This window comes from Homo sapiens, chromosome 14, assembly GCF_000001405.40.
Source record: "Homo sapiens chromosome 14, GRCh38.p14 Primary Assembly".
NCBI lineage: Eukaryota > Metazoa > Chordata > Mammalia > Primates > Hominidae > Homo > Homo sapiens.
The window spans coordinates 93,521,314-93,544,961 of NC_000014.9; the positions used below are offsets into that span (position 1 = coordinate 93,521,314).

General features: G+C 39.1%; 1 protein-coding gene across 32 annotated transcripts in view; it reads left to right on the plus strand.

The window, feature by feature from the left end:
• UNC79 (unc-79 subunit of NALCN channel complex) overlaps window positions 1-23,648 on the plus strand; it is a 374,695-nt gene that overhangs the window by 188,132 nt on the left and 162,915 nt on the right. For 27 of the 32 annotated variants that reach the window (XM_011537027.3, NM_020818.5, XM_011537026.3 and 24 more), the window contains 7 exons: window positions 2,665-2,729; window positions 7,245-7,333; window positions 7,973-8,013; window positions 11,237-11,265; window positions 16,676-16,905; window positions 19,347-19,518; window positions 21,153-21,383. In XM_011537027.3, coding sequence (XP_011535329.1) covers window positions 2,665-2,729; window positions 7,245-7,333; window positions 7,973-8,013; window positions 11,237-11,265; window positions 16,676-16,905; window positions 19,347-19,518; window positions 21,153-21,383 — 857 coding nt within the window. The other 5 variants (XM_047431627.1, XM_017021509.2, XM_047431626.1 and 2 more) reach the window with 3 other exon arrangements.

The following is a 23,648-nucleotide window of genomic DNA, read 5'->3' on the forward strand; positions in this document are numbered from 1 at the left end:
GAGTTTTACCTTACATACATTTTACTTAGTATAAAGCCAAAGACTCAAAAGGACTCCTATTTAGATTTCTGGATCTCTTTCTTTGCCTAGTTCCCTCTTCCTTCATACTCTATTCAGCAAATTTCAGCCATCTGGCCTCTCTAAACTCCAGTTTTTGTCCCCTCAACTAAAAACAAGACCATACTATTCTGCTTATCTTTCCCTTTCTAGGGCCAAGGTCTGGAAGTTACTGTCAGGAAGAAAGCCAGGGTGATTGTGGGGCTCACTGCATTATTTCTCTTCTCTCAAGGATCACTGCCCTGTACTACTTGGAGACCAGTTTCTGAAAATAGTGTTTCAAATATATATTTTTTAGTTCTCTAGTTGTTTATGGTGGGAAGGCAAGTCTAATACCAATTTTTCTATCATAGTTGAAAGAGTAATTGTTGTCTGCTGTGTTTTTATGCTATCTTTTTTGTTATTATTTTTGAATGGTGATCTAGTATGACTATATTTGCCACAAGATAAGGTATGCTGATTGTCCTTATATCAAAATCAATTGTAGTGCTTTTCCCAATTAGAAATACCTGTGTTCTATCCTCAAACATTTTGATTCAGAAGATCTAACATTGGTTCCAGACATCATATTTTTAAAATCTTGACAGTTGATTTTTGATACATAGCAAAACTTAAGATCACTGTTTTAGTAAGTTTAAATCCAATGTGGCTTTTATGAACTTAAATTGATTATCTACAACCTGTTCTTAACACAGCAACACTCAGTAAAAATGGAATGCAAAATTAAAGCAGTAGGACCTCCTGGATATCTCCATTATCCACAAAAAAGCATTTATTTCTGGCAGAATAGAAGTCTTTAGAGCCCTAATTACTGTGGCTGGTGCACACTTCAATTTGTTTACCTGTGCCATAGCAGTTGTTATATGTTTTGAATATTAATTCTTCCCATAAGTGTCATGAACTTCTGTAAAGCAATCTGCAGACATTCTTATAATACACTGATTTGGAGATGGTTAGCAGATTTTATCTTGTGTGCCAATTTTGTTTTGATTAGTGGTGACTTCTTGGAGCACAGTGATAAGAAGGATCCTAAGGCCAGTTCTGGACTCAGCAGGAAGGAATGCTGTAATGGATTAGTGATGTCTGTCATGAGTTTGGGATCAGAAGAATGCAGCACATGTTCCATGTTTTTGCAATTCATGTACTGGTTAAAGGCAGCTTTTTCCTCTATGTTACTCTAATTGTACAAGAAAACTTGTTACAACTCTTTATATTCAGCTTGACTTTACCATATATGGGAAACTAATCTCATAGTTATGAAGCGCCTATACCGAAATTATTTCTTCATCAATCTGTTCATGTACTCATTCATTTCCATTTCTTCTTTGTTGTGCTCTAAAAATATGATCAAAATGATACTATCTTATTATAGTAGTGGTCTCTGGTCTGTATTTCTTGTCTTCTTTTCAAATAAATAGACCTGTTGTATATTTTTAAATGTCAGTCGTTCTGGTAACTATATTTCCGTGAATCCCCAACTAGACACATAATCTTATACATGGTCTAACAATGGGATAGAAAGTTTGAAGGTGGGAAGCTCCTAGGTAGAAAATTTTCTAAAGTGTTTGGAACATAAATTAGCTCGGATCATTAATAATATATATTTTTGAATTATAATTGAATATGTAACTAAGTAAGAATATCTTCTCATCTGCAAATTCCCACGTATTAAGAATAGGCCAACATAGTCCTGTGAGTTTAAAATATGACACTTTAGAAAAATGTCCTACTTTCAAGCATATAAACCCCTTACATGTTTTTAATGATGGAATATTGTTAGCCAAGTGCTTTGGGCTACAGAATCATCCAGATGATAACTACTGGTTGTGATTCTCAGTCTGACTTATTACAGGTCACTTGGTTCTTTTCCTCATTCTGTGTGTATACTGAGCTTAGGAGTTGGGTATTAGCAGACTAGCAGAGATTTAATTGGGTATTAGCAGACTAGCAAAGGTTTAGTAGGTGGGTCACGTGTAAGAGAGAGATGCATTTCATTTGGGCAAGAAATTAATCTTTCCAGTCTCCATGTTTGTTGGGGATGGGATAGGAAATGGAATGGTAGAGGACGTCTTACTATTCATTTCAGTTGTTATCAATTTAAAACGCTTACTGGTGCCAAGAATCTAGGATGTTTAGCATAATATACAATCATGAAAAGAGCAGAATGTCAAGCACCAAGAAATATAGGTTCTAGTTCTAGCTTATCATATACTAACTCTGTGACCATATCAAGCTACTTAACCTTGCTAACTTTAATTTATTCTTATATGAAATGAGATTAATAATCTGCTGTACCTACCCTACAGAGTTGTTGGAGGATCAAGTGAAACCATGGTTGTAAAAACCTTTGAAAACTTATTAATGGCATACCATTGTGGTACTGTACATGCCATCTTATATTGGCTTATCTCTTATCCTAGGAAAATGGATGGAGTTGTATATCTTTGCTTGTCTTTTAAATTTTTTATAGATTAAAAAGATGATTCTGTTAGAAAGCTTTCTGATGATGGTTCTGTTTAGAAAAAAGAAAATAGTAAAATATCTGTTTTTACTAGGGCATGAATAATTTCAATGAGAAGTATTCATCAGCTGTGCTTTACTTTACAGCTTGGAATCCCATCCACTGCCAGCACATTGAATGCCACAATGCAATTAACAAACCAGCTGTGAAGGTACTGTTTTATTAGACCTGGTGCCATACTGTATTGTCAGTGGTCAAATTGCTGAATGAAGTGGAGTAGATTGCATCCTTCTCTGTAAAGCAGAGGCATGTCCTCTGTAGTAATTCGAAGTACCTCCATATTCAATCTGATTGTACTTTGGCAGACTGGTCAAGAGAGAGCAATGAATAGCGTTGTCTGCAGTTTTGGCTATGCGTTCGTAGCCAAGTGCTATGTAGCACTGAGCTAATTATCTATCAGAAGGATCCTAGTAAAATGCTTACATGGTCCTTAACTGGTTTCTATTTCAGCTAATGAACTCAGGGAAATGTATTTTCTCTCTGTTTTCATGTGTATGCTACAAATCATGAGTGCTTATGCAAATTCAGGAGTGGTAGGACAAAAAGATAAAATTGTTAATTTTTAGCTCATATTACAAATATGACTTAACTGAAATGACTGAAAGGTGTCTGGACAGCATATACATGGAAAGTTACATTAAAAGTAAGGAAACAGTGGTTTACAGAGTCAAGTCATTTTCCTAAGGTTGCCAGTTAGCAACAAAACTGGAGACAGAACCAGGTATCTGGACTCCTAACCTTATTGTCCTTCTACCACACCAAATTGGTTCTGTCCTAGTATAACCCTGAATCTTGAAAGTTGAATGTGAAGAAAAATAATCACACCTTTTAAGAAAATTATTTATGATATATTTATTGGATATAAAATATTTGGCTGGATGAACCTGTGTCTGGATTTGCAAGGTATAATTTTTATATTATGAGGAGTAGGAGTTACCTGAAGTTATCAGAGTTCACAGTTACTTTGGAGAACCAGGTGTCCTGCGGGTTTGCTTCTTTTGTTTTATAGATAGCCTGTAGAAAACCAAATACTAATAGAAAACTAACACCATCTCTTTATAGAAACAAAGTAGGAAAGGTGAAATGAGATCCAATAAATATAAAAGAAACCAAAAATGTGTTTCATGAACCAAAAACTGGCAGAGGAGTGCCGGTAATAACACTGTCATCTAGATACATTATACTAACAAAGGATGGCCTTGTATTATTATTTTTAATCTCTGCTTTTGTTGAAGGCAAATTGAATGGATTGATATTAAGAGCAGGTAACTGGCTGGGTGTGGTGGCTCGAGCCTGTAATCCCAGCACTTTCAGAGGCCGAGGCGGGTGGATTGCCTGAGGTCGGGAGTTTGAGCCCAGTCTGGCCAACATGGTGAAACCCCGTCTCTACTAAAAGTACAATAAAAAATAAGCTGGGCGTGGTGGTGTGTGCCTGTAATCCCAGCTACTCGGGAGGCTGAGGGAGGGGAATTACTTGAACCAGGGAGGTGGAGGTTGCAGTGAGAGGAGATTGCACCACTGCACTCCAGCCTGGGCAACAGAGCAAGACTCCATCTCGAAAAAAAAAAGAGCAGGTAATGATGACCCACACAATGGAAGTGTAGGCCCTTCCCATTCTACTGTGTGCACCCCACTGTTGACCTTCAATAGACATTTGGGGTTCAGAGGTGCTCTTCTTTGGAGTGAGGATATTTTGAGCTGCTCACATGTGAATTCATAGTTTATTCATATAGTTCAGCTCGATTTTTCACAATGATGAGACTTTCATGGTTCCTTCTTATTATCCTTCTTTTCTTCCTCCTGCCTAAGTTATAGCTCCTTCTTTTGGGTCACCCAGACATCAACATGAAGGGGATCCTTTCTGTCTGGTTTCTGCAGTTATTTTTCCTTGATTTTATGTCAGACTGCATTCTCAGGAGTCCTCTGATATCCTGGTTAGTAATGCTTTCTGGCCTCCTACTCACAGAAAGCATCATGAATTAGATTTTCTACTTCTTTTCTAGGCAAACAGCCCAGTCCATTCCACTGAGTTGGCCTCACTTTTCTTCCTGAAGTGAGTCAGCCATGATAGGTCAAACCATCCACTTTCTGTCATTTTATAAAAATAGAGGCAAAATTCACATAATGAACAATGAATTATTTTAAAGGGAATAATTCAGTGTCATTTAGTATATTTACAATGTTTGCCAACACCACCTCTTTCTAGTCCCAAGACATTTTCATATCCCCCAAATCTTACTTTCTGAACTCCAGTTTCCTTAAAGACCCTTCTTTTCTATTTTAATTCTACACTTTGCAGAAAGGTAGCATTCTCATTAAGTCTTCCTGTGCTGGGGCCATTTTTGCACTACAATAGGTCTGGCTCAGTATTGCTCTTGCTTTACAGTGTGAGTCCGCCCAATCCACATCATCACCGTATGACATGCAAATCAAGGGTATCAAACATCCAAATGCTTACAAAATAATGTTAAGCATAAAGTTATGCAATTTTATAGTATGATGTTTAAAAGTTTTAAAAAGTTTAAAGGTTACATAGTGAAAAACAATCAGTAATACTTATCATGGTGAAAAACAATCAGTAATACTTATCAGAGTGTTACTATGGATTGCATCAAGATGGAAGGTTAATGTGTTAATTGAATTTTCTTTTTTCCCTTTCTCGGTTTTCCAAAGCCTCTACATTGGGCATATGTCATATTTATAAACAAAAAAATCCACTTATTCATGTGACACACAGATATGAACACATTAGTGTGGATGTAAACCAACCTGTTCAGACTAGAACAAAACTCACTAGACCAACTACAGATCTGATAGGTCATGCTAAGTAAGTTATTTAAAAAGTCAGAGGTTGACTAGCTAATCTCTAATGATTATTTATAGTTTTAGCATCCTAGGAGCTTCTCCTTTTGAGTAGTGTGAAAAAGTATCTTTACGTGAGAGAGGTATCAATGACTCACTAAAAAAGAGGGTAGAATAACATATAATATGTAAGAGGAGCTCCACATGGGGGGCATGGGAAAGATTTGGGGAAAATTGATTAATCCTCACCAAAAGCCTAATATCTCTGTGATAGTGAGCTGTACTGCTAAGCAAGAATGGTATACCAAATAGAAAAATATTATCCATTTTTGTTTTAATAGGCTGCAAAAAAGTACTTTTTAGGCAAAAGCCAAGAGTTGTAATAGGATTAAATGTGAAAATATGTTGGAACTTAAAGTTTACGATATCATACTCTGCTTTTGATTTTACCTGGTTCTACTTGAAGTCCACTTTATGAAATACTTTGAAGCCCAGATAATTATCTAAGGCAGGTTCTGGCAAACTATGGCCCAGAGCCAAATCTGGCCTGCTGCCAGTTTTTGGAAATAAGGTTTTATTAGAACACAGCTATGTTAATTTTCTTACATATTTATTGTCTATGGCTGCTTTCATGCTCCAACAGCAGAATTGAGTAGTTGTGACAGAGACTGTGGCCCACAAAGCCTAAAATATTTACAAAAAAAGTTTGCCAATCTCTGATTTAACACACCGCAAAGCAGTTACTCATTACGTCTAAGGAAGCATGAAACTTACATGAGGAAAATTTTCACTCTGAGCCTTTGTCATCGGGGAATATATAGTTTACAAATGTTGACGGTAAATTGAGCAATTCTAACTAGCTTCCTCAATCATTGAAGTGTCTGTTTTCACTTTGAATTACAGGCTGTTTGGGTTATAAGTTTAGGTGATTTCCCCCCTTCAAATTTGTGAGAACAACTAAAAAGAGTGTAGTTCCAGAAAAATTTGTGTATTAGGCATCTTAACTGCTTACTCAGCTAGCACATGAATTGATTATTTTTTCGAGGGTAGAAACAGAATTCAAAATGGCTTTTGTAAATTATAGAAATTTAAATTTATGCAAAGTACAAAATGCAGTTAGTTATCTAGATTTTTTGTTCATTTGATTTAAAAGATCCAGATATTGAAATATTCTGATGATCAACTGTGAAATTAACACTTTGCATCTCTGTGCTTAGGCTCGTGAAACCCAGCTGTATCAACCAGTTCCAGCAAGGGCAAACAAATTATAGGTCATGTGTAGGAAAAAAAAAAAAAACACATGAAAAAGAAAGGTTGGATGATTGATACAGAACTAAGATTCCAGAGTAAGAGAAGTGAACCACTCAATGTTAGATTTAATGCCAACTTTTTTGAATAAGGTATGCCTTAAGAAGCAAAGTTCTCTACCACTAGCACTTTGGTATCAGTTATGATTCTGAAATCTTAATAATATATTTTCCTTTTCCTAATGAGAAACTACTGTTGTTTACCACTTTAAAGAAGGAATTAGTGTGAGTAATATATCGCCAATTTGAGCAGCAATTGAACAAGATGATATTTTGGATCTTTGTGGAATGAGAGTGAATTTCTTGACACTATTTATTACTTGAATTGCAAGTTAACAGGAGAAATGAAAAACCACGGCAGCCACATTTAAATCCTCAGGGTGGACTCATCAGCTAGTCCAGGGAGAAACATTTATCGGTAAAAAGGGTTTTACTAAAAATGTTTATTCCACCTCGCTTGTGGAAAATCTGTCATTATTGAAGCATTTGTGCTTAGAATATAGGGAATGTGATACCCAGGAACAGGAGAGTTCATTCTGTCTTTTCATATGTTTCAGATGTGTATAGACCCTTCCCTGTCAGTAGCGTTGGGTGATAAACCACCCCCGTTGTATCTCTGTGAAGAATGCAGCGAGAGGATTGCAGGGTAGGTATAAGAGTTCTTAAAGAAAAGGAAATAGGACAACAATAAGAAGATAAGAAAAATCATTTGGACTTAAATTAGTTACATTGCTAAAGTTTCTCTCTAGCCTCTCTGATTTTTAAAGGTTAATTATTCTGATACTTAACATATAGCAAACTTTCACTGGGAACATTACAGCTTTGAAAAGTTGCAATATTTCTCTTTATGTGACATGAGAAGAAGGCAATTCCATTTAATAAATCAGCTCCAATTTTGGAGTAACCCTGTTAAAAAGGCCACAGAGAAAAACAGATGTAAAAGAAAACTGTGGTTTCCAAACATGACATACAAATTATATGGGTTCTTTTTGCTTGTTTGTTTCACAGAATCACACTCAGCTTTGTACAGATCATGCAGTATTTTGGTTGGCTTAATTAGCATCTGGAAAGTATCATTTAAAGATAACTGAATATGATGAAGTGCCTATAATTTATAATTTAGCTGGAATGCATTAGACATTTTAAGAGTTTATTATGATAGTGCTCTTAATTATACTTCCTTTCTATTAAAAGCCTTTCAGCACTAGTGTGCAGCTTATAAACATTCATGTGGAAGGAGAACATTTCAATGAAGCTCAAAAATGAATTTTGTTTTTTTCAATAGGGACCACAGTGAGTGGCTGATTGATGTTCTTCTGCCACAAGGTATGGTTTACTTAGGAAAGGATGAATAATGAGTAATCATGACTAATGACATAGTTGCTTTATCTCCTTTTGTACTATTTTATTTTACAAAGACAGTCACCAAAGTATTGTATTGTATGAATATTCATTGATATGAAGCATAATATCAATGCCTTGCTTATAATGTACCCACACATTTAATAATGCGGGAAGTAGTATCATCCCTACCAAAATTAAGGGTAGATATTGGAATTAGGATTCCATACGACTAAAGCCCTGCCAAATTATGTCTTCAGGGATTTTCTGTATCTGTAACAGGTGTTGTCAGTGATAAGTTGCTGCACCAGGTCTTACTAAGGAGAAGAAAAAGAATAAGGAACACTAGCTGGGAGAGAAATGAATAATTGGCCTTTCCCCTGCTACTATTACTAGTACCATGTTGTGGGGGGGAAATCATTGAATGTCTCTGAGGCTCAGTTTCCTCATCAGTAAAATGGGGATAAAGTATATCTAACCCATCTCAATGGAAAGACAAGATTGCAATGCTTCTTGTAGTTTGTCAGAGTTGTCAAAGCTATGCCCTATAAGTTGGTAGGTCCCAGACAGAGCATTTCTCCACATATGGGAGAGGCAGCTATTCCAGCCATGTCATTGGAGGCTAAAATGACAAGGAAAAGTACTGACAAACACAGAGGAAAAATGAAAGGTGGAAAGAGCTGCAGGCATACTAAGTTTGAGTAGAGATCGGGGCACAGGAAGAACTCGATGGTATATGACTTCAGATGTAGAAAATAAATGGATTCCCATCCTAGCTAACATGGTGAAACCCCGTATAAAAAATTAGCCAGGCATGGTGGCACCTGCCTGTAATCCCAGCTACTCAGGAGGCTGAGGCAGGAGAATCACTTGTAAAATGGAGCAATAATATCAGCCTCTATATCCTTCAAAGGCACATTTTGAAAATTTACATAAAAATATCTGTAGGTCAGGTGCAATGGCTCATGCCTGTAATTCCAGTACTTTGGGAAGTGGAGGCGGGCTGATGGCTTGAGCCTAGGAGTTTGAGACCAACCTGGGCAACGTGGTGAAACTCTGTCTCTACTAAAAATACAAACAAACAAACAAAAAATTTAGGAGGGCAGGAGAGAAAAAACAATTTAGCCAGGCATGGTGGCACGTGCCTGTAGTCCCAGCTACTTGAGAGTCTGATGTGGGAGGATCATTTAAGCCCAGGAGGTTGAGGCTGCAGTGAGCCGTGATCATGCCACTGCACTCCAGCCTAGGCGACAGAGAAAGACCTTGTCTTAAAAAAAACAAAAACAGGCCGGGCGCGGTGGCTCACGCCTGTAATCCCAGCACTTTGGGAGGCCGAGGTGGGCGGATCACAAGGTCAGGAAATCAAGACCATCCTGGCTAACATGGTGAAACCCCGTCACTACTAAAAATACAAAAAATTAGCCGGGCGTGGCGGCGGGCACCTGTAGTCCCAGCTACTCGGGAGGCTGAGGCAGGAGAATGGCGTGAACCTTTGAGGCGGAGCTGGCAGTGAGCCGAGATCGCCCCACTGCACTCCAGCCTGGGCAACAGAGCGAGACTCCGTCTCAGAAAAAAAACAAAACAAACAAACCCCAAAACAACAACAACAAAAAACCTGTAAAAAGATTTGGGCTCATATGGGTAAATTTAACTTTTTTTCCTTTAAATTATGCTACTTAATTAGTGATCATCCAGTGCTCTGAGGTAAAAGCCATAGTCAAGTTATAAAATATAAGTTATAAAATCCTTTTTAAATATGTTGCTGAGTTCTGGTTGTCATCTCCAGTGATATTCATCTTTAGAGGAATATTGGCAATAACTTTTCATTACTTATACAGACATGTGACACTAACCTCAGATGATTTAAGATAAACTCTAGGATATCAAACTGTCAAGTAACCATTAATTATACAAAACCAGTTTTTAAACATGAGTTGTAAATTTTGTTGCTTTTTCATCCACTAGTTTAAGATTACCAGACAGGGTTTGGGAGACATTTACCTTTGATCTTTTAAATAAATTGTAACATAGACTATAAATAAGGTGTTAGTTCATTTTTTGAGTACATACTATTTCAGAGTACATATTAGCCAATTCTTGGAAAATTTATTTTCAAATGCTCTCCAGCATCAGTTTTCATGGAAATAATTGATGTGCCCACTGAAAAGAATTCTTATGCATTCATTATGTAGACAGTAATTTGACAGTCTTGCTCCAACTGGTCTACCCGTGGGTTTGAAAATTGCTTTCTCTTAAATAACCCTACAGCTGGTTTTACACACACACGTTAAGAGTGATATAAATTGATAATTTAAATCTAGGTAGTCCAAGTTAGTAATTTTGTCTACAGTTTTGATATTGCAAATAATCCGATGGTGATGCTGTAAATATATCACATTAACCCAGTGTCATAGTATAATGGGAAGAACAGTAAATGGGGAATTTGGAGACTTGAACTCAAGGTCTGCCCCTACCATTGATAGCTTGTGTGACCTTGAAGAATTTACCTAACCACAGTGGTTCTCAGTTTTGTCCTCTGTAAAATGGGGAAATAAGATTAAATTTGTTTGGCTTTAACAAGATTTGATTTCTAAGTCATGTCTGAAAAGATTAAATTATTTGTAAAAGTAGCAGTGTGCAGGTGTTTTTAACCTCACTAAACATACACTACTAGATGAAAAGAGATCTATTTCATGATTTCTGAGGAAACTAGAAGCCAATAAAAGTAGACGATAATTTATGAGCCAAGTGAAAATCTGTTTGGGCCAAGTCCAGAGGTCATATTACTAAGATTTAAAAGATTCCCCCTTCATGGCTGCCCTTATTTTAAATGGGCTCTAGACCTGGCATGGTGGCTTACACCTGTAATCCTAGCCTTTTGGAGGGAGGTCAAGGCAGGAGGGTTGCTTGTGGCCAGGAGTTGAAGAACAGCCTGAGAAACATAGTAAGACCCCATGTCTACAAAAAAAAAAAAAAAAAATTAGCTGGGCATGGAAGCCCACACCACTGCCTAGCTGCTTAGAAGGCGAGTCAGGAGGATCACTTGAGCCAAGGCGTTCAAGAGGCTGTGGTGGGCTATGATGGTGCCATTGCACTCCAGCCTGATTGACAGAGTGAGCCACTGTCTCAAAAAATAAATTAATTAATTAAATAAAAATTAGAGGGGCTCTCTTTCTTTGTTGATATTTTGTGTGCCTTCCCCTTACAGCTGAAATATCTGCTATATGTCAGAAAAAGGTAAGAGCAAACCATTTGTGTCGTTGGGGCATGATTTATTGTGTTTGTATGTAAATTCATTTATTGACATCTGCCTCATTTCTGCACCGTGGTTTCCAGTATATGCATGCCATTGTATTTGTGGAGGGGTAAAGGAAATAATTTAGCATGCAAGATTGCTACATCCAAATGGTCTCTATTTCCATTTCTGCTTTTGCTCACCCATCTTATGCACAATGCTTTTGTTCAGTAATTTGCAATAAAAGCCTATGTGTAATTCTGGGATAGGAGTCCAATTAGAAAAAGGTTTGAATTATACTGCAATTTATGGTACTTAACTTTAGTTAAGGATATATCTTGTATGCTAGAAATCTCAATTGTTTTGAAGTGGAGTGCAAATAGTCCAATTTGTATGTGTGAAAAACATACCCAGACTGACTGTATATGGAAAGTATTTATGTGTAAGTTGAACAATACATGTAGCTAAAGATTCTTCCTTTAATATTTCCTTTAGTTTTTTTTTAATAATAGTTTCTCTAAACCACCTCCATCTTCTCTTCTTGTTTTAATAATTGAAAAGAGTAAGAGGAGGCAGTATGATGTCATAAAAAAGAATTTTTGACTAGTTGGTTGAGATTCTTGGACTCTGGCCAGTTCTGTTCCCTCCTACCTATGTGGACCTTGCACACATCATTTAAACTTTTTGGGATGTTGATTGTGAGTAGGTATATTGGAGGGCTGTCTCAGTTATCTATGGATGCATAACAAACCATCTGAAAACATAGTGTCTCATATGGCAACCAATTATTTAATCACAATTCTGTGGATTGGCAATTTGTCCTATGCTCAGCTCAGCTAAGCAGTTCTTTTGATAAATTACTCTAGGCTCACTCATGTATTTGCAGTCAGTTGGTGGGTAAGCTGGAATTGGCTGGCCCCAGATGGTCTCACTCCCATATCTGGGGCTAAGCTGGGATGGCTGGAATGGTGAGATGGGTGGGGTGTCTGGGCCTCTCTTTCCACATGATGTCTCATCGTCCAGGGGCTAGGCTGGACTTGTTCACAGGTGGCAGTCTTCTGAGAGAGTGAGAGAGCCTCACTCACTCAAGGCCTCTCAGAAGTCACACAGCATCATTTCTGTAGCATTCAACAGGTCAAAGCAAGTTCCAAGGCCGGCCCAGATTCAAAGAGTGGAGAAATAGGATCTTTGTGGTTATTGAAGGATTGGCAAGAATTTTATGGTCACATTTAATCTACCACAATCTGTCCTTTGGACATAATTATTTACCTTCTTTCCATATGCAAAATATGCTCACCATTTTATATGACCTCCACAAGTCTTATTCATTTATGGCTTCAGGCTTAAAGTCTAGTATCTTGTGATCTGCATGTGATATGTCACTGATTAAACTTCTTGGTAACTGATTCTCTTGATTCAGAGTCCTGTGAACTAAGAAGGAAAGTTATCTTCCCTCTCTGCACCCAAGACACAATGTTGAGACAGGGACAGGATCATAGCAATAAGCTTCTGTTCAAAAAGAGGAAGGGAAAGCAGATAGCAGTCATTGGTCTATAGCAGCTCCAGCCATAAACACATCAACAGTTCCTCTGTCTCCAGGAATAGCATACATGCCTTGATTATGATCTGGTTTTGTTTCCTAGAAATAGTTCCCTAATCTGTTCTTGTCCTCCTGAGCTCTTGGCTCCACTCTCTGAGACATCTTTTCTTTTCAATAAGAAATGGTCCATGTTGCAGCTGAGTAACTTTCTCAATCTGCTTCGTGCATGTAGGAGTTAGGGTCCCATATATCTCTTTTCATTTAGAACTGCGTCTCTTTAGTTTTAGCTGGTGGTGCTTTTGCTAGTATGACTTTCTTAAAAACTTTGTGGATTTTTAGTGAATCTCATTGGGGTCCTGAGCCCCCAAAGCCACATCTATAATGATTTTTGAGGCAGTCCTTCCTATATTTTGGGCGTTTCAGTGTGCCCTTAAAATTATTAGAAGCCCTGTTATAGCTGAGAGCCTCAATTAGACATCGCCTTATAACTTTCTGAAGCCTTAACAAAGGATCTTAGAGTCATAGACCATATTCTTCCTTTGATCTTTATCCTGAGGCCATTCTTACTTTGAGAATCGTTTCTAAGCTTGTGGGACCAGGATTTCAAACAGTTCTATTTTCTAAATCAGCATGTTTTGGCTCTGGGGACATACGTAACATATTTGACACCCAGGGTAGATCATTTTTTAACACTTCCCTCTTTATATGACAAACTTATTTTTAGTAACAAGCTTCAAATTAGCACATTTTTATTGCTTATCCTTTAATAAACATTGTGTTTTACACAGACATTAATTTGGAGAATTTCCATTAAGTTCATAACAGTTCAGAATTGTATGAGCTTGCCCTGGGTAGTTTGTATTCTACCTCTTTGTACTGCATATTCCCTGAATGGTATATTTGAAATAAGCAATGATAGCATCGTGATTGGAAAGATGAAGAGACAGACCTTGATTATTTCAATTCTGTGATTTTGTGAGACCACTTGGAGTTATTTCTATGTGTTTAAAATTCAAAGCAGTGAAGCAAAGTGGTTGGAGTGAACATTTGAAAACATGTCCAGCTGAATCTCCATCTAAGGGAAGCCTCTCTAGTTTAGTTTGGAAATGAATGAGCTGAATCCACATGGGTTGAGGCCTTTCAAATATATTATCAAAACTTAGTAGGAATCCTAGCAATTATTTAGAACTTCGATCAACTGAAGATTATTTTTGGGGAAATGTATTTTATTGCTGACATTGTTTAGAATTGATGGCATGTGGTAATAAAGCAGGTTGACTTTTAGTCGGTATTCCAGATATTATCATATGCAGTGTATCCAGATACTCCATAAGAAATTGCTCAAAATTTACATCGTAAAACAGCAACATTTAGTTATGTTCATAGACTCTGTGGATCAGAGATTCGGACAGGGCATGATGGAGATAGCTTGTCTCTGTTTGATGATGTTTGGGGCTTCATCTGGGAAGACTTGAATGCTGAGGGTTTTAATTATCTAGAGGTTTCTAGATCATACGTTTGGGCTCTGGGATGGGGTGACTTGAAGACTAGGCTAAGCCAGCGCCATTGACTCAAGACTGAAACATGGTCTCTCCCTGTGGCTTGGCTGTCTCATGGCATCCTGGCAGAGATCTGGGAGGAGTATCTAATGAGGAAGTTTCTGAAGAGAGAACATCTCAAGGCAGCAAGTGGAAGCTGCGTGTCCTTTTATAAGCATCATTTCTGTCATGCTATATTGGTTGAAGCAGTTGCAAGCCCATCCAGATTCAAGGGGAGGGAAACTATCCTTGACTTCTTGATGGGAGGAGTGTGGAGAACCCGCCTCTGGTCACAGATTATTTACATTCTTTCCACTTGCAAAATCCTGACTGGAGGTCCAAGATCTTCTCATCAAAATCAAGTTCAGGTGTAGATGAGGCTTTTTGGGCTTGGCTCCTTAAGTATTCTTCCTTTTGCTTTGAATACTTGTGAATGAAAGAAATGTTATCTGCATCCTGCACAGCTAACATGCAATAGTGATACAGGGGTAGGATTACTGCAGTAGAGACTCATGTAAAAAGTGAGGAAATGAGAGGAAGGTAGTCATGTCCGAATCTCTGATCCACAGAGCCTATGAACATAATTAAATGTTGCTGTTTTATGCCGCTAAATTTTGAGTAATTTCTTATGGAGTATCTGGAGTCCTTAGAAATTCTGAAAGTCACAGGGCACATGTCACTTGTTCCTTAGTTAGGTGCGAGTCCTGCTTCCTGGGAGCTGGTCTCTTTGGCTCTAGGCCCCACCCTCTGGGAGATGCCCATCTTTTCCTTCTCATAAAAAGTAGCCTGTCATTTACAGCTAAGTAGTTTTATCAGCCTATTTTTTGCTTATAGAAGTTTGGAAATCCCAAAACATCTTCTTTTTTGGGCTGTCTCTGTCCCTTTCAATCTACAATGGTATAATTCCATTAAAAACATGGGCTCTTATGTCTCAATTTATAAACCTGCTTCATTAAACGTGAGTCAAATGCACAAACCTCTTTGGGATAAGTCCTTCTACACCTTATGCTCTCTATGAGGCTCCTGGGAATGATGACTTACGATTCTTAGAACCCTTATTGTTGAATGAAGTGGATGCTGAGGTATGCCCTTAAGATCCTTAGAAGGCACCCCCCACCCACCCCCGGCTTTTTTTTTTTTTTTTTTTTGTCTATCTAAAAGAGTCAATGGTGTACCATATTAAATTCTGAGTTCTTAACAAAGGGTTTTATATTCGAGCCCTTGCTATCATTTTTTTCCTACTGAGACCACATTTTCCTGATAGGGCCCTGGATTTGATGTTTGCCTTGAAACTTTTTCTTACCTTGAGAATCCTATGCTGGCTGGAAGGACTGTCCTGAGCTCAATATTTTCCCTTTAAATTCTAGGTGAAGACAGATTAATTCATTATTTTATCTCCCTCCTCTCACAAGCTCTGAGTTCATAAAGCCTTAGAGTCTAACGCCCCCTTGGGGGTGTTCACATCTTCACAAGCACTATTGAAAGAGACATTGACTATGTGGTGGTCGCATCTCTCATAGGCTTGGGGCACGTCTCCAATAGCTTCATGTGGGTGCTGCCTCACTCCTCTGCCTCCCGCCAGGGCAGCTTGAACAGTACCACCCCTGAACTTGGAAATGTCTTACGCTCCACCACTTTTCTCGTTCCCATCACTTCATTTGCGGTTCCCTTCCTGCGGTTGATGTCAATGCTGACTCTACGAAGGGTTCTGGCTGTGTATGTCCCTGTGGTCTTCACAGAGTGCCGGTGGGCATGGGAAGGCCTGGCTTGAGGCCATCACTTTGGCACAGCACAGTCTCTGTCTTTGAATGCAGCATCTACCTGTCCTTGAATGCGACAAGGACAGAGGAGCTGTAGCGGAAATCTACTCTTTCAGGTGGATAAAATAATTTTGAAAGAGTTTATTCCGGGAGTTAACATCATTTCTTTTCTTCCCTGATGTGCTGTGATGTTGCACTCTCTGATCCATGGTTCTGTTTTTTTCTTTATATTTCTGCTGAAAAACTCTTGGAATGTTAACTTGAAATAATCCAGAAAGTGTCCTCCTCCTCGCTCCCCCCATGGCTGAGGTAACTTTACACAGGGCTTCCCAACACAATGCCACTGATATTTAGAGCATTTCTACTACTCACAGGAATAGAAAACACTCCTCGCCTTTATTTTTTAACTATGACTGAAATCTAGGTAGTGGGAGAATAACCTGCGCTTTGGAAACTAGTGGCCCTTGAATGTGTTGTCACTTCGAGTGGCCCCTTAAGTTTTCATTTATTCTGATTCTTAGCCAAGTTTACCTCGGTGGTCAATTTTAATTGATTTCACTTTCTTGGCTTCTAGAACTGCAGTTCCCACGTTAGAAGAGCAGTTGTCACCTGCTTCTCAGCAGGGTGCTGTGGTCGTCACGGAAACAGGCCTGTTCGGTACTGCAAGAGGTGCCACTCAAATCATCACAGTAATGAAGTGGGGGCCGCTGCGGAGACTCACCTCTATCAGACCTCTCCTCCGCCCATCAACACGCGGGAATGCGGCGCTGAGGAGCTGGTCTGCGCCGTGGAAGCCGTGATCAGGTAACACGCAGTTTCTTAGTAGCTGCCTCTGACAACTCCACCTTGCTTTGAGCTAAGCTCCGCACACTGAGATGTGCATATTTAATGCAACCTCAAATGCCCTTAGCCCAGATGCTCACCTTCCCACAGTGTTGTAATGATGCTATTTTAATTCATGAATTCAATGAATATTTTTACGGATGCCAGTTATGTGCCACGCACTATGCTGGGCACATGGGAGGCAGGAGGGAATAAAATATAGTCTCTGCCCTTAAGTTACCCATGTAGGGACTAGAAAAACATAAGCACGTCATTGTGGTACGGTTTGGTGAGCTCAGTAATAGCATTGAGGAAAGGGCGTTAGGGGAACTAGGTGAAGGGGCCAATCAGAGTGAAGCGTGTGAATAGGCCTGGCTTGACTGACAGCAGCATTAACCAGTCAGGAGGCGGGGAAGGCAACAAGGGCGAATTACCTGCATAGGAAACAGGTGCGGGACAACTCCAAGTAATTCCATGCTGGGATAAACCACGACCCTGTGTAGTCAGACAGGGACAGCAGGGACAGGTCCTGCAGGCTACTGGGTTTTTCTTCTTCTATCACATGACCAAAAAAAAAAAAAAAAAAGCAATTGAAATAACTTCTACCCTTCCTCTCTTTTTGTCTGATACTCATAGAGGCAAGATTTTTTGTTTGCTTGTTTTTGTTTTATTTTGTTTTGTTTTGAGACAGAGTCTTGCTCTGTCGCCCAGGCTGGAGTGCAGTGGTACAATCTCGGCTCACTGCAACCTACGCCTCCTGGGTTCAAGCGATTCTCCTGCCTCAGCCTCCTGAGTAGCTGGGATTACAGGTGCGCACCCCCACGCCCGGCTAATTTTTGTATTTTTAGTAGAGACGGGGTTTCACCATGCTGGCCAGGCTGGTCTTGAACTCCTGACCTCAGATGATCCACCCGCCTGGGCCTCCCAAAGTGCTGGGATTACAGGCGTGAGCCACCGTGCCTGGCTCCAGGCAAGATTTTTTTTTTTAATTAAATAAATAATATGGCCGGGCGCAGTGGCTCGCGCCTGTAATCCCAGCACTTTGAGAGACCGAGGCGGGTGGATCACGGGGTCAGGATTTCGAGACCAGCCTGACCAACATGGTGAAACCCCGTCTCTATTAAAAATACAAAAATTAGCTGGGCGTGTTGGCGCCTGCCTGTAATCCCAGCTACTCAGGAGGCTGAGGCAGGATAATCGCTTGAACCTGGGAGGCGGAGGTTGCAGTGAGCTGAGATTGCGCCACTGCACTCCAGCCTGGGAGACAGAGCAAGACTCCGTCTCAAAAAAATAAATTAAAAAAATAATAATAATATTAGAATCTAAGTGTTAAAGGATAGAGGCCAAGTCTTTTCTGTTTCTCTTATCCCAGTGGCTGACACGTAGTAGAAATACAATTAATGTTTGTCAAATCGAATATTATGGAAAGTTTGAAAAGAAATAAAAACACTCAGCCATACTGATGATGATGTTATCACCATCATCATCAGTGTTGCTTATGTTCTAATTTTATTTAAATGTATGTTTCATTTCTATAACTGTAATCAGTGTATCCACAATTCTTTTTGAAATAACATTACACTATTAGCTCTTCTCCACGTCGTTGCATGGTTTCCATATTTATCATTTGTAGTGGATATAATATTAATCTAGCTATAACTTACTTTTCTCTATCGTTACATATTTAGACTGCTTCCAGTTTTTTACTTTTATAAGTAACGCTTTGAGAAATATTTTTGTACATAGTGCTGTACCTATATTTTTTATTTTCTTAGGGTAGATGACCAGATATCAAATACCTTGGTTCAAAGGGTATGAATATTTACATGGCTCTTAATACATTACCAAGTTGCTTTTCAAAGCATGTGTATAGATTTACAATGCCAACACCATGTATAAAACTTACCAATACTGAGTGTTGCTTTTTAAAATTGGAACTTGTTTAGCAAACGGAAAAAAGAATTTTCACTGTTTCACTTTCGTGTCTTTGAATATCAGATGGTGAATATTTTTCCATTTGGGCACAAGCTCCTCAACCTTTCCTTGTATCATGCATTTGCTGTCTGCACAGTTTCATGATAGATATAGAGGAAGCATTGACTTATAGTGGGATGGTTGGTGAACCAGAAGTCAGAAAGGATCAGTTCTGCTTGATGCTAATTGATTGGAGGAACTAGCCTCTTTGTGCCTCAGTTTGTTCATCTTTGAAATGGGAATGGAGTATAAAATAGTAAGAAAATAGAATGAGGCATCCTGGAGTAACTCAGGATGCACAGTACTCAGTAACTCAGTAACACAGTACTCAATTTAAAGAAGAGCAATCCAGGATGCTTGAGTACTCGTGAGGTACTTCCTCTGAATGGGTCATGATCTAGAATGTGTTTTTTCACAGTCTAACTTGAAATCACACTGCTCTTTGGCAGCTTGTTGAAAGAAGCCGAGTTCCATGCTGAGCAGCGAGAACATGAGCTGAACCGGCGGCGGCAGCTGGGCCTCTCCTCTTCCCACCATTCCCTGGATAATGCTGACTTTGATAACAAGGACGATGATAAACACGATCAGAGGCTGCTCAGTCAATTCGGAATATGGTTCTTAGTAAGAAAAAGAAGTTAACTATTCTCCACTTTCTTATTTCTCATTTCAAAATTGTACTGAAGAGGAATTTCTCCTGTTCTTTTAAAAGGAGTAAATAGTGAAAAATTAACCTTAGCAATGGGGCTGAAGCTATGGCAATAGCTGTCAATCCTGAGCTGCATGTTAGATTTAGCTAGGAAAGCTTTTAAAAACTAACAATGCCCAGATCGCATTCCAGAATCTTGGGAATTTTTTAAAAAGCTCTTGGCCATTGATTTTGATGAAGAGCCAGGTGTTAAACCTACAGTATCAGGATCTAGACTGGTACAAGTCGGGAAGTTGCTAGTATATATTGTCAAGTACTGGATTCAATAACATATACAGATAATTCACATCCCATCACCTATGTAGATGAAATTTTTCTTGAAAGTTCAGTCTCTGTGGAGCTTTTTGTGTGTTTATGATATGTCTATGTACACCAGAGACGTTATAGCCAAAGTAATGCAAGGAATATGATTGCTATTGACTGATTTAATTTCAACATCTATTCAGTAGAGATCAAACATACAGATCTAACGTCCCAAGCAAGCTGAATTTACCAATGCGGCAGAGAAGCAGGCTTTTGTTTTGCTCATTGGAGACATTAATTCAGTCTCCATAGTGATATATCTCTATTGTGCTTGCATATAGTTCCGTGAAAGAGTCTTTACCAAATTGGCATTTAATTGTTGATTTCACATATCTTGCTTCCTAGAAGTTAGTATTTAATGACACAATGGCTACTGCTGTGAACTCTTTGAAGGCAAGGACAATGTTTTATTTATTTTTTTTATTCCTGGACCCTGCCATAGTACTCAATAGAAGATTAGTTCATAGTAAATGAATGAATGATGTTTTAAAAAGTCTATTTATGGGCCGGGAGCGGTGGCTCACGCCTGTAATCCCAGCACTTTGGGAGGCCAAGACGGGCAGATCACGAGGTCGGGAGATCGAGACCATCCTGGCTAACACAGTGAAACCCTGTCTCGACTAAAAATACAAAATATTAGCTGGGTGTGGTGGCAAGCGCCTGTAGTCCCAGCTACTCGGGAGGCTGAGGCAGGAGAATGGCGTGAACCCGGGAGGCGGAGCTTGCAGTGAGCCGAGATCGCGCCACTGCACTCCAGCCTGGGCAACAGAGGGAGACTCCATCTCAAAAAAAAAAAAAAAAAAAAAAAAGTCTATTTATGATAGTGAATTGGGGGGACTCCAAGGTATCTGAATTATTACTAATACACAATTCTTAGCAAAATATGATCATTTTAGAACTGAAATGTATATACATTATTTTCATTGAGGATATTGATGAAATATCATTTTGTTGACCTAACTTTTTAGAAGCATTTATCTGGTGCAGATTATATAATAGATTCCTTGTAGGAGAAAATGCTTAATTGGAAGGTGAAATCTTGAGGGAAAATTGTTGTTGCAATCCATCTATCCCTGTAGAAAGGAACACAGTTTCTGGATAAGCGATCCCCATTTTTAAAACTGCCTATTTCAAACAGATTATCTGGGATATCTTTTTATTTTTATTTTTTGCCTCTTAATGCACCTATAATAATTTTGTAAAGATGGATGGAAGCCGAACAAGGTTCTAATCTACCTACTTCTAGGTGAGCCTCTGCACACCCAGTGAGAACACGCCTACAGAAAGCTTGGCCCGGCTGGTGGCCATGGTGTTTCAGTGGTTTCACTCCACTGCGTATATGATGGATGATGAAGTGGGAAGTCTGGTGGAAAAGCTGAAGCCTCAGTTTGTCACCAAATGGCTGAAGACCGTATGTGATGTTCGCTTCGATGTCATGGTCATGTGCCTTCTTCCTAAACCCATGGAATTTGCCAGGGTAAGTGGAGGCCTACAGCTCACACCTTGTTAGAGAGGAGGACTTGGGGAGAAGTGCTGCCTTAGCCATGTGGGTATTATCAGTGTCTGCAGAGGAGGAACATCTCTCCTTATTTTAATTAATATAGCTAAATGAATTTAGTAACTGTATCTTGGATGATGTGCTGCTTTGATGTTGATTTGGGATGAGGAAGAATGGCAAGATGCATTTGTGAGGTATCTTTAAGAATTTAAGGGACCATTCTTTCTCGACATTGCTGATTTTTTTTTTTTTTGAAATGGGATCTTGCTATGTCGCCCAGGCTGGCCGCCTTGAACTCCTGGGCTCAAGTGATCCTCCTGCCTCAGCCTCTGGAGTAGCCGGGAAGCTAAATATTTTTATTAAGAAACAACAACAAAAAAGCCTTTCTATGAGGTTACTAGAGCTCAGTCCCCTTTTGGCTTAGAATCTTTGGAAAGATTACCATTCAAATAGGGGAAATGTCTTTTTTTCTTTTTTTAATCATGTATATATATATATACAGGTTAATGGTAGAAGTCCCTGCCCTGCCATTTGAAATGCCAAAAAGGTTCAGGGTCAGACAAAATGCACCTATTCCTCTCACTTAAGAACAGATTTCTCTGTGCTGATCCTCTTGCTTCTGCCTCAGTGGATCACATCTGAGAAGAACCCATGTTTCTTTTTTCCTTTTTTTTTTTTTTGAGACAGGGTCTCACTTTGTCACCCAGGATGGACCGCAGTGGTGTAGTCATACTCACAGCAGCTTTGAACTCCTGGGCTCAAGAGATCCTCCCACCTCAGAGACTACAGGCATGCATCACCACATCCATCTAATTAAAAAAATTTTTTTGGTAGAGATGGGGTCTCTCTATGTTGCTCAGGCTGGTCTCAGACTCTTGGCCTCCAGCGATCTTTCTGCCTCAGCCTCCCAAAGTGCTGGGATTATACAGGCATGAGCTGCTGTGAGCAGCCCATATTTTTTGAATATGATGTAATTTGCATCTAACCCAGAAAGGTGGATGTCCAGAATCAGGTTTTGGCAGTAATATGTGAAATTTTTTTTCCAAGTGTTTTCTAAGTGTTATTTTTATTTGTGATTTTTTATTTCCTTTCAAAGAGATCTTGAGGCAGTTTTCAGTAGAAACCTGTGCTAAAGTAGGACATTTAAGGATAAAACAGCACAGACCATCTATAGGGGTAACTTTTATTGGATTTTCAGGACTCAGAGTGATCTGTGCATTTATGGAGATGTACTTCTTTCTTCTTTGGTGCCACCTACTGACTCACTTAGAAAATTGAATTTTTGCCTAAAGGAAATTTCCCATTTTCTGACATTCTTTGCCTGTGTTGATATATTTTCTATTATTATGTCTATTGGAATAGTGAAGGATTGATGTGACATGCTTCTGGAAAATGAGAAGAAATGATTATGTTGGGAGAAAAACTTTTCTTATTCCAACTTAGGTGCAGATGTTTTGGGGCCTGCAAATTAACTGATAACAGTTTAACTGGAGAGAAGACAAAGTTTATTTATGAGTACATGTGGGAGATCTCAAGGATAAATTACTTCCTGAATAGCCAGAAATAAAAGATTTATATATCAAACTTAACAAAAGGTTTACTTAAGGGCTTCAGTGAGAAGGTATGGAAGGTTCCATTGGGTTTTTTAATGCCATGGGAGCTGGGCAGGAACTGGGCTATCTCCACAGCAGCTGAATCCACAGGAAACTCCCTTTCGGGGGGGTTAACAGAAGGGTTTTCTCTGGAGACTCTGCTAGAGTCACATAACGGAAGTTCGGCTAAGATTTCTTTTTGCATCTTCTTTAGCTTAAATGTTTTCACTTTAAAATACTCTTTATACCAACTGTAGGGTTTTGGTGGATAACATTTCCCTCATCTGAAACTTCCCTTGAAGTTTCAACATACATGAAAGAAGCTAGGTTGATTTCTATAGAGGGAAGATTTAGGCTAGAAATTGTGAGGTAAGAGATCTGCAGAGGAGAACAAGAGCATAGAATGAGGAACCAGAAAAGCACAGATTAATGGTTGGGATAGATTATAAATCTAGGTTTTGAGTACGGAGGGCAGACAGTTGAGAAGATGTCTAGATGTTGGTCTTGAAGCATGTTTAGACGGTGGAGTGAGAACATCGGTGTCACAGTTATGGTTATTTTCCAGAGCAGAGCAGAGAAGAGGTGAGTGTTTGGTGAACTTCCTGAGTGGACCAAACTGTTGTAGCAATAAGTCCTTTGAATTTTATATCAT